This window comes from Homo sapiens, chromosome 3, assembly GCF_000001405.40.
Source record: "Homo sapiens chromosome 3, GRCh38.p14 Primary Assembly".
Classification (NCBI taxonomy): Eukaryota; Metazoa; Chordata; class Mammalia; order Primates; family Hominidae; genus Homo; species Homo sapiens.
This window is the reverse complement of record NC_000003.12, coordinates 44049332-44061404: the sequence shown is the minus strand read 5'-3', so window position 1 is coordinate 44061404 and position 12073 is coordinate 44049332. Positions and strand designations below refer to the sequence as shown.

At 47.5% G+C, this 12073-nt stretch overlaps 1 long non-coding RNA gene across 4 annotated transcripts in view, besides 1 other annotated feature; it reads right to left on the bottom strand.

Moving 5' to 3' along the window:
- Positions 1–12073, bottom strand: part of LOC124909489 (uncharacterized) — a 123033-nt gene that overhangs the window by 60960 nt on the left and 50000 nt on the right. The window lies entirely within an intron of this gene.
- Positions 2562–3011: an enhancer, noted in NCBI's record as "active region_19759". NCBI's record gives its function as "activates an Ori minimal core promoter by ATAC-STARR-seq in GM12878 lymphoblastoid cells {active_cell/tissue: GM12878}" and the evidence as "EXISTENCE:reporter gene assay evidence [ECO:0000049][PMID:35858748]".

Sequence of the window (12073 nt, the reverse complement as noted above, 5' to 3'; positions counted from 1 at the left end):
CAGCCATAGATTACCCTTGTCCTTCCATCATTATTCCAAAATGATTGAGTTTTACATGTGGCTTTCTCTGTCAGCTGAGTAAGAACTCCGGGTCTTCCCACTGAGATGTAAGACTACTCAAAAGCATTGTCAAAATGTGTCCTGGAAGCCTGTGCTGGCATCATAAGCTACCAGCCCCTGCCTCAGCCCAGGGGTGAGTGGGATCCAACAGGAAGCAACCTGTCAGCTTAACACACCAAGCCAAACTGGCTATCCTTTTAAAAGCTGCCAGCATGATTTTTTCCTCATTATTTATTTTTTGTTGATAAGTAAAAACTGTACATATTGATGATGCACAACATAATGTTTTGGGATACGTATACATTGTGAATTCATCTCACGGTGACCCTCCTCCCCCAAGGGCTGGCATTTCTACTAGCGTGTTTCTTGGGGGAAGGGTCCTCCTTTGCTAAAACAGCGCGTTATGAAACTGTAGGCAAAGGGTTACTATTACTGCTCGTGACTGCCGGAGAAGTCAGAATTGTAAGTGAGCACACCTTCTCTGGTGTGTACTCAAGCCCTTCAACCACACAAGTTTTCAGGGATGAAACGCAAGCCGGCTGTCCACACGAAGGGGCATCGACGTTATCCCTGTTGTCCCATTAATCATATTTAACGCCTAAGTCTAAGAATGTTATCTTTGCTCCCAGTTCCAAGAGTGTATAATTTAACCGGAGCAATTTTCCCCAAAGTGTGAATCAGGCTCATACACTGTCTCTCTCAACTTCCTTTGTGCTTCTAAATTAGAAAACCAAAATGTCACTTTTCTCAGATATAAAATCCTCTCAAGGTCAATGTAAAAGAATAAAGCAATTAACTTCCTGGGTAAACCACAGTATGGTGTTAAGAACACCATACCTGAAAAAGCGGTTAAAAAATAAAATCCTTTCTACAAACGACACCCCTTGTTTGAGACCCAAATAATGAATGCAGTTCCCGAGGCTCCTGTCAAATGAACAACCAGGTAGGGGAGGCTGCTTCCCCCTCTGTTGCCAGCTGGCTGCAGGATGTGCTGTTTTTATGCTGCTGGGCACACTGATTGGCTGTTTGATGAGGCAGATCTGTGGCTAGTTTCTTTGCTTTTCTTTCTTTTCCTCCCTTTTTGATTCTTTCTTTCAAGTTTTGTAATAAATCAAGTTCCATTTCTGCATGTCCGGTGGAGCTATTACGGTCTAATAGGTAACATGAACTCTATTTGCTGACTACATAACATTTCGTTCTCTTATTGAGTCCAGTAATCAGGAAGAAACAGACCTATATTGAAGTGAAAAGAGAGGCAGCAAGGTTCCAACTAGTTACTCAAATCTTAACATTTTTTTTCCAGGTTTGATTGAAAATAGGGTTTAAAATTTGCCATCTCCTGCTTCTGCATAAATAAAATGCAAACACATTTTGATTTGTACATTTCTTTGCAATAGTCAGCACTGTGACTCAAAAGGGTAAAGGGAGCTGCTTACCATGTTTGATTAAATTTCAGAACCACAGCCTGATGCACACAGGACCCAGCCTAGAGCCCTGGAATTCTCACAACCATGGAGGCTCAACAGTCTGACCCATGACTAAAGGTCCTAAAACCCATCCAAAGGCAGTTAGTGGTTCTTCAGAGGAGCCTGACCTCAGAATACAAAATAGCATGGGGAACACAGCTGCCAGGTACACCAGGTATGCCCCCTTAACACATGTAGGGTACACCCCAAAGCACTTCCAGATCAAGGCCTCGGCTGGGCCCATCGCCTCAACAGCTTTTGCTTCAGTAAGAATGGGGCACACGTAACTGAAGGTCTGTGAAGTTTCTGTCCTCTCGATGGCCACAGGTGTGTCTGTACAGCTGTGAGCCATGTGTACCCACTAGACTTGAGGGAAAGACAAGCCTGTGGTTCAGAACTTCCCTTGAATTAAAACCCCTGGCAAAACTGGCAATGGGCTCTAATGAGGAGTGGATACACACAGACAACAGGTGTGGTCAGTAGCCCTCTCAGGCACCTTGGGTCAGCAGGTTCCAAGACTCCCCAACTGCGTCAACCCCCATCAAGTTACTCATTCTCATTACTCTCCAAATACATCTCCCACCAAATCTCTAGGCATTCACCTCCCCCACAAACGATGGCATTCCCCTTCTCCTTCCAATCTCACTGGTGAACCCACATTTCTTAAATCTGCTCTGAGAACTACAGAAAGACCTCAAAAAGCAGCAGGCTCTGCAAAAATTCCCAACTTCTGCCACAACGATACCCAGCTCCACAAAGGACGGGGCATGTCCTCCTCCCTCCTTTTGGGTGTAAAGAGGCACCCAATACTGAAAGTCAAGGAGGGTGCAGCTGGGTGAGGTGATTGCCTGGTGCTAGGGACTGGAGGGGCTGTGTGTAGATGAGAATAGGTGCTGCCTGCCACTGGTGCTTTGAGCCCACTCTTCCCCGTGAGCCTCTGTTGCAAATTTTCTCAGCCGTTTTGCAAGCACTTTTCTCATCTCTCCAGTCGGGGGTGGGGAGGGGGGGAGTGTTGGGGGAGAAGGGGACACCGCCCTGCTGCTTTCTTGTGCTGTGATGAATGCCTCAGGGTGACAAACAGTGACTCTCAGCTCAGTCTCATCGTCTCCTCGTGTAGGGCAAAAGCAGCCCACGGCTGGTTCCCACAGCCCCAGCTGGCAAGCAAAACCCTCAGGCACCAGGTGAGCCCAGCAGGGCGTGCCGTGGGCCGGAGAGCTCTGCAGGTGGTGGGAGGTGTGTAGGTGTAGGGGCCCGAGCAAGGGAGGGGATCACACCCACCCATGAGCTTGGCACAAGGCGGAGCAAACGAGGAACCGAGACTCAAGCTTTGCAACCCGCTGCTCTCAAAGGCTCTGGCAGGCTCACTCTCTCTGTGACTCATCCTGCTTCACTCTTAGGACTTTTTAATGCCTTTTATCTGCCACGAATGTTCTTGTCAGGGAGCTGGTAGGTGTTAGATGTTCAAGCAGACTCAGGGGTGTAAGCACACACACGGAGTCTTTTGAAAAGCACATTTGTCTCACTTAAAAACAACAAAAACAACACACCTGCCTGCCTTAAAATACTTCCCTGGGAACGAATAGCTTCCTCTGACTTCTGAGCTCCCATTTCACTCCCTTTAAATGAATGAGGACCTCCTCCTCAGAAGGACAGCCATGCCTTAGAACTGGACCCACAATGCCCCTGGAGAGGGCATGCTGGCAGTGGGACAGAAGCAAGGAGGAGCATACAGAACTTAGGATGGGACAACAGACAGGTTGGGCTGAGTTGGGACACTGGGGATGCTGGCCAGCCTTCATGAAGCCCCTGGCATTGGGGGTGTGCCTGACCCAGGGCCCTTCCAGGGACACCACAACAGAACTCTTCAGAAATGGCAAAGCAAAATGTGATGAAAAAGCAACTCGATTTCCTACCTCTCCTTTAATAATTGACCATGTAAGGTCGCTTCCCAAATTTTCAAGTCATTTAAAAATACCCCATGAAGTCACCCTGACCTAAGAAGCCTGAAGCCATTCACGTTCCTGGCACAGAGGTGGGAAGCCCACCCGACAGAACACATTCAACTCCATTCCACAAACACTTGGGGAAGAACAAGTAATGACTGCTCCCCTTAAGAGGCTGATGACCTCGAGAGGGAGGAAGGCAAGTATACGAAACTTCAGGGTATGGTGATGGACACAAGAGAGGTACCGAACATCAGGGAATACAGAGGAGGAATTCTTTCAAGCAGAAGAAATTAAGGAGAGCCCAGCAGTGAAGGAGGTATCTGGGCCTTATAGAACGACTCGGTGGGGAGAGGGGAGGGAATAGGAGAGGGATGGGGAGGGTCTTCAGGTGTCCAGGATGGCCAGTGCTGGCCCACGATGGGCCCGTGTGGGGCATATCTGAGGACTGTCAGCACCCAATGGGGTGGACACTGGAAGCTGTGGAGTGGCCAGCCTGATCCCCTTTGGAGGTGGCTGGCATAAAATGCCTTCTGTGGGGGAAGTGACTGGCCCTAGTGTGGAAGGTTGACTCTGGGGGTGGAGAGAGGAGGGTGAGGGCGATGGGGGTGAAAAGGACTGGTCAGCACTGAGAGACTTTTAAAGGTAGAATTCACAAGACTTGGGCTCCCGAAAGCAAGGCAGCAAAAGGAGTGTCCACCAGGGACAGGTTGAGGGTGGGTGGCTGGGACTTATGGCATGATGGGTTGTGGGGGCCGGGTGGGGTTAGGGCAGAAAATACACAGGAAACAGAAGGACCTCGGTCAAGCCATGTCTCCATTTGGGCCTCCTAGGTGGCAGGCAGGTGGCTTCTCCCCTGTGCCCTGCACACCCCAGCGCTGAGGTGAGGGTCAAGTGACAGACAAGAGGCCAAAGTCTGGCAGTTAAAATAACATGGCATCACCAAGTGCTGTGGGGCTTAAGAATACAGACCAAAAGAGAGCTCAAAATAAGGATGCCTGTGGGGCCACACAGGAAACAGGAGCACAGGAGGCCATTTTAAAAGCAAAGGAAGCTGAGAACCCAACTCAGAAGCCTGGCCTCTCCCAGCCACAGATGGGAGACCCGCGCCGGCAGCCTGGGGAAACTGGTCCTCTTGCCTCCAGGGGGAAGGGTAGTGTGCTGCTCTGACCTGGAAAGATCTGGGAGGATTAAGGAAGCAGGGCCTGTCTTCAGGGAGTGTCAGGACTTTACAGACCTTATTTTTAGATTAATGTGATGATGCTATTAATATTCCCGGCTTCCCAGCAAGAAAGAGGCTATCAGGCATGCTCACCGCCTGTTCTCTCCTCAGCCACACACCCTCCCCCTCGCTACCTGCAAGTCGGTCCTGATGCCTCCATTTTCAAGCCATAGCTCCATAAAGGGTCTGGCAGGGACCCTGAGGCTCACAATAAGGGCTGGGAGTGGAAGCCCAGGGTCCTGAGCCCTAGAAACCCCCATTCCCTGCTATTTATCCATAGAGTCTCCACAGAGCACTCTGAGGTGTGCAACTATCTCACAGGAACCCCACCGCCACGACCGTAGGGGGTCTATGCAAAATAAAACCACCAAACTTTTACCTCACACTACAGATTGCACGTACAAAGCGGGGAAATGCAAGATATATTCCAAAAAGGCTATTCCCAGCCCTGGCTGGACTCTTGGCTGAATCAATCTGCTTGGCTTCTTTTCCAGAGACCGAAGAGAGGAAAAGTGATAAAAGACCACAATTTACTTCATAAAGTAACTTGGTTTTCTTACATAAACACATGCTTTTCAATGGAATGTTTAGCTCATCTCATTAATTCTTAAACAACCAGAGGGTATTCTATCTTAGGATACTGCAATTGGGTAAATACCACTTGACCACTTGTTTAAAAAAATGAGATGATTAGCCAAAAGAATGTAGAGAGTCTATCCCCAGGTTATGGTTCACAGAATACTGTCTCAAAACAACTCAATTTCAGAAAAACCATCCATATGTCAAAAATGACAATAAAGTATCATTCAAAGAAAGAAATGATACACTCTGTGGTTCTATTTGCAGCCTTTGTCAAAGGCCTATATATTTACTTAATTTTCTTGACCTGTCAGAAACTTTTCTTGCCTTCTTCCTTTATCAAAAATATTACCTTTTGTGCCATTTGAGGGAAAAGGACTATATGCTTTCAAAACTTTACAAAACAAAGAACAAAAGCAAACAACACTTTAAAAGTACCCATCAGGTACTGAAAAATATCTACAGCACTGAGAAACTTAATCTCATGCTTATTTTAGATTGTCTTGTATTATCATTAGTGGTTTCTTGTGTTGTAATCAATTATATTTCATATTCTATCTCTTGATTTAGACGGTAAGGTGTTTGAAGCAGCAAGTATTTTCTTTTCAGCATTCTCCAACACAGTCACCTGGCATTTTTTGTACAGGCAACATGCAATAACTATTTTTTTGAGACAGGGTCTCACTCTGTCGCCCAGGCTGAAGGGCAGTGGCATAATCATGGCTCACTGCAGCCTTGACCTCCTGAGCTCAAGTGTTCCTCCTGCCTTAGCCTTCCGAGTACCTGAGAATACAGGTGTGCACCACCATGCCTGGCTATTTTTTTAAATTATTTTTTGTAGAGATGGGGTCTCACTCTGTTGCCCAGGCTGGTCTTGACGTCCTGGGCTCAAGTGAGCCTTCTGCCAGGGCCTCCCAAAGTACTGGGTTTATAGACATGAGCCACAGTGCCCAAACCTGCAATAACTTTTTGAATCAATGAATAAATGATTAAATGAATGGCCAGGTTAATTAACTGCAGCTTTAGTAGAGCCAGCTATGCTTTCCTTTTTTTTTTTTTTTTTTAATGAAAATATTTCGGGGTAACTGGGAACTGATGGGAGAATTTGAAAAATACTGGTTAGGAAAGATGGCAAATGCATAGTACTTGATTAAATCCTCCTCCTTTTCGTGCCCTTGGCAGACATTAATAATCAGTTATAAGACTCTTGCTGAGCGTTGATTAGGCCTCAAATTTCATCTCAGATGCCAAGCTCAATCAATCCGCAGTAGCTGCCCTAAGTGCTATGTAGAGAAGGATCCATTTGCCTTCTCTGTGTTAGATCCAGATTTTTAAAAGCAACACTTTACTGAAAAAGGAAGGCAGGGTTACTTCTCTGGATTTAATGTCACTTCTTTTATTTTTAAATCCCTTCTTCCTTCCGGGCACTGATTTTTCCCCCGCTTGATATCCTACCCCATCCTGTTTAAACAGAACTGTCTGGTAATCAAATTGCTTTTCCTTGCCAATGCTCTTTGTTCTTGCCTGGTGTCCAGGCCCCCGTCCATGTGGGATCTCACCCCCATGCTCACCATCTCCCACATCTACGGGACGTGACAGCAGGGAGCTGGAGACATGACCATGGGAAACACTGGATCGTTTTCCTGGGCTCCTCAACAGCTTCAATCTACAAAATCTTGGATTTGCCCTTAAAACTCTCAGCACCCCAGCTTTGATCCTCAGCATTGAGGGTCCCCTTCACTTACTCTAGGGTTGGGGTCAGATGGCTCCAAGCTGGACCCTGGGCCACTGTCATGTCTAAATCTGCTCTCTGCTGCCTACTGTCTACCTTTCTCCCAGGGACGTGAAGCTTCGCTGGAAAAATGGGAGTGATTCTTATAGGGACACAACGTGAAGGTTTCTGTGCATGGGCATATGAAGACACCGGGGCTACCGGTCAAAGAGGCGTGTGAAACCTGATAAAATGTGATGAGCTGATAGGAAGAAAAGAAAATAAGACCTTGTCCCTGCCCTCTGGAGACTTACACTCTCACAGGGCAGATGTGGCAAACCCACGTGGCAGGATGCCTGAATTAAAGTATTAACTCGGCTGCCTCATCTTGGCCAGCAGGAAGATTATTAAAGCATGAGAGGGGTTTCTTGCTCCCCTCTCCTGGGGGCGAGCTGGGAAGCAAGAAGACCAGGGACTTTGGCATCCAGAGACAGGTTAAGAGGTTTCTATTGGTTATGTTTTCCAATCCAACAGGGAAAGAGCTAGCTAGGTAAGGGAGGCGGCATCTCAAAGGCTTGAACAGGCAAAGTGGAGCCTGGGAGAAGGGATCTGTAATTGGAGGAGGCTTGGGCTCTGCTCCCTGGCACTCCTGGAGAAGCTCTGGGGAGCTGGAGACTGAACTCTATAGGCTGTTGCCACAGGAGCTAGTGGGCAGGTCCTGGGGCCTGACCAGGCAGGGAAGGACAGCATGGCAGCCAGAGATGCTGTGTACGTCACTGGATTATCGCCTTGAGATGGTATGCAACCCTGCAGTGACCATGAGGGCCCTTCTCAGAGGTTCTGGTCTGCCCTCCAGGACTTGTACGGTCTCATCAAGATGGATGTCATCCTCTCAAGATGACATGTCAGCAGAGGCATGAAGTCACATGTATTTTTAATTTTTTTTACTTGGCCCAGTCATGATGTTTTGTGAGCCCTGTCATCGAAGGTCCTCTTTATTATATTATTTAATAAGAAACAAATGCTCATGTGTTTAATTTAGAAAAAACACAATGAATTTCTTGCTGGTGAGTGTCATGGAGCAAATGTGAGCTTATTCCAAGGAGGTAAAAAAATAAACAAACAGGGTTCTGGGGTTGTTCTGCAGGTGAGGGTAGTGGTGGTGCAAGGACCTGAATCCCTCAGTCAGGAGAGTTAGAACAGGTCAGCTTCTATATGAAGGTGAGTCCTGTGTCCGGACACTCAATTTTGGCTTAGATTCCCTTAGCCTTGACTTATTAACTTGTACTTTCACTCACACAAAAGCATTACATTGAATCAAAATATTCGTCTAAGTCCAGATCCAAATATTAAAACGCAGGGGTGGGAGAGGTGGCTACCATCGAGAGCACCTACCACGTGCCATGCACTGCCGGGCGCCTTATCTTTACTATCTCTAATTGCCATGATCCCCAAGAGGAGGTATTACTGTCTCACTTGTACAGATAAGGCACAAAGCAGAAAATGGGCTAGAAAAGTTAAAAAACTTGCCAGTAGTCCCACAACTGGTAAAACCTGGAGTCAGGCTTCAAACCAAGCTTGGCTGGACTTCGAGCTTCTCTTTTCAGACACTTCATCAGGTCACCTCTCGGCTTCCAAATGGCTCCAAGGTTGGATGTCAGTGGAAGGATCTTTGGGGCAAATAATTTCCTTATTTTGAAAAACATCTGCCCAACTGTGAAAGAAAATCAGTGTCCTGCATTCAATCCTGACTTTGCCTCCTATTCACTGTGTAATAAGGGGCATGGCCTCTCTGAGAGCATTTCTCATCAGGCAGAAGAAAGTTCACCTCTAGTGCGGCCAGGATGAAGAAGAGCCTGGGGTCAGGTTCTAGAATCAGGTCAACACCCTTAAAGAAAAGGCTGCTGGAATTTGGAATATTTTAATCTATGTGATTAAAAAAACTAGCGTATGACAGCAGGTGCCTTTTTATTAATTTAAGATCTTATCTGGGCTGTGAGTTGCATTTGTTTCCTTTACAGGAACGTGGCTGGGGCTATGCTGTAGACCACTATTGCTGGCTCTAGTGCAGGGATTCAGCTGTGTGCATGGACAGGTGTATTTCCTCGTTGAGGCAACTGGCCATACGGTTAAGAGTGGAAACCCTGAGGACCCTGGGAAGGGTAGCAAACCAAGCCCTGCACTGGCTGAAGTTCCTTCCAGGAGGCCCGGACTCTGGATACTGCATGCACGCGTACGCTATTCTGTCAAATGACCCAGACTTGGGGAATACACTGGCCACCCAAGAGCTAAGTCAACCTTAGAAGGGGGAGATTGGAAAGCGACAGCCAGTGAGATTGATGGCAGAGTTCTTGTGCCAAAAGGTCCTTCATATAGCAACGTGCTGTATGCCAGTGGTGCTGTGCTAGTAAGGGAATGAAGACAAGGCCAGCCCTCGTATCAGGAGTGGGGTATTTCTTGGAGGGCATATAACTTCATACTGCCAGAGCTGGTGCAGAAAGTGAGTACTTGAAGGGCAGGCTTCTGGGCTGGGGAAAGCTAGTGTCTCAGAGGCTGGTCATTCCTCCAGTTGGGGAAGAAAGGAAGATAGGTATCCTCCACCTGTTGGGAGGGCAGCAGTGGGCAGAGGTGCTCAGTGGGTGGTGCCTGTGGAGGGGCAGGATCTATATCTGGTGTCTCCTTCTCCATTTATCTGTTACTAGTCCCTTGTTTTTAACAGCTGCACTGCTGATCTGGGTTTAAATGTGCCAGGCTGATCTTGGCTGTGCTAGAGGAGTGTGGTCTAAGTCAAAGAACGCACAGCCTCTCCCCTCCCGCCAGGCCACACAGTGGCAGCAGCACCAGTGCCAGGGAGGCTGGTGGTCTTGGCCTTGCAGGGGGATGAGCCAGGGACCAGCAGGGTCCCTCAGGCAGGTAGGGGTGAGGGTAGAGAACTGGCATGGGACCTAGGCAGGATGGGTCTGCAAAACGCCTAAATGTCCCCCAGCATGGTGGAGGGCTTTGTGGCTGGGGAACTGATTAAAGTGGGATGGAGTAGATGGTAAAAGAGGAAATGTGTTCGTAGTTTTTCACCAGGTTGGTGGGGCTGCAAGGCAGTTGCTCTCTACACTTCTTGTCTGTCTCTAGAGCACCTGGCCATAGAGAATTGGCTCCTTGCTGGGCAGATACTGCTCTGGATGTGTGATGCAGGTCCAAGGGATAGTGGAGGAATGGTGGCTGCTTGAAGCCCATCTTAAACAGGGAGCTCCCACAGGGCCCCAGTTACCCTGAACCACAAGGCAGAAGTTTTGGCCTGAAAACATTTAATTGCAGACTAAACTCATTTGGATAAACAGAGGTCTCCAGTTTCTCCCTCTGTGGGTGTCCTGTGGTCACCATTTCCTTTGCTGTCTTGGGGTAGGGAGGGATTAGGAACCCACTGATAAATTAAACCCAAGGGTTCCCATCAGTGAAACTCAGAGCTAAGTCCCGGGGAAGGGGAGGCTGTGCCATTTTCCTTGATGGGCCTCTCTCCAGCTCCTGCCCCTCCTCCTCTCCCGGCTTCTTCTTCGATCTGTGCTGAGACCTGACACGCAGCTTCTCTGACCCTTGACATGGGCTGGCATCCCCCACAAATCTGAATCTTCCCCCTCCTCCTCTTATTACCTGGAGCAAAGAAGAGCTCAACAATTGATTTTAAATGTGTTATCATCGGGGTCCAGTTTGCATTTACTTGGTTTCTTTGAAATTCAGAAAAGACACAGTCTTCACCCCTTTAAAAAAATCAAATTTCATTTTGGATCACGCCTCCATTTGCTTCTCTGTAAAATGAAGGTGGGAATCAGCCAGGCAACTCCATAAGATACCATGCAGCTCTAAAGCTGATTTCATATCCCACACCCTGCAGCGGCTTATTAATAAAAATGTATTAACACTGACCTAAAGCTCAAGACGAAACACATTTCCACAGCCGCAGATGCGTGGAGCTTGTTGCATCAGCAGCGTTGTGCAGACAGTGAAGGGTTTGTTGGGGAATTATATCAGGCTCCCACCAGGGCCTCCTTGGCTCTGTCCTTTGTACCAGTGACAGTGCAGATGTGCTGACTGGCGAGGGGTGGAGTGAGCAGCCACATCAATACTGGAGATGTCTGAGGATGTGTTAATGACTGATTCAGAGCCGTCAATGGCACCATGGAAGGCCCTTTGTGATGGTCCCAACCCGGGGTAGGGATATAAGGACCAGCAATGAAGGACCCATTTCAATTCAACAAAAATGTATTGAGGCCTCACCAGGTGCAGGACACTGCGCTCAGCTTGGGGAGAGGCCGGCAGAGAGGGACAGAAGACAGACAGTGGTGTCAGGGCTGCAGCTCAACAGTGCTTAAGTCAGCTGAGCCCCTGGCATCGCACTGCACCGATTGAACAGCGAGGTTCTTTGCACACCATTGTTCCAGCAAGTCAAACGACTTACTTCTAAAGGTGGGGGCTGTGCCCTTTGAAAGTCCCAAGAAACAAATGGGCCCACTTTGGCTTTCTGCTCAGGATGGCCTGTTCTGCAGCACCTCGTGCTGACTGACTGCCCCTCTGTGACATGCGGCAGTGCGGATGTCACAGAAATGTAAAAATGCCCAGAGGGTGCCAATGTCCCCACCAAATGCTCTCTTCTCTACACTCCGGTAATCTCCACTTAGCGTGGTCCACAGAGCGCACATGTAGACAGACGCCCTTCCACCGTTAGCTCTTACATTTTCACATGTGAATCTCAGTGGTTGAATGACACGTTGATTTCTGAGTGGACTAAAGTTGATATTTGAAATTGGATTAAGCATTCCAACCTGTAAGAGTTAAGTCATCCTTAAAGTGTGAAGACTGAAAAATAACATTGAATAAAATTATAGATAAAATTCCTTTAAAAGCAGGAAAAATCTGACAAGAGCCAAAAGGGACTTTATATAATGATATGTAAAAATATTTATTACAAGGAAATAAAATAAAAATATCTACTTATTTACTCTAGTTTTAAAGAAGTTAGAGCAAAGACACAAGTTGGCCAAAATCATCAATTTTATCCCCAAATCAAATCCTCTTATAAAAACTATTACCAGAAGATCTC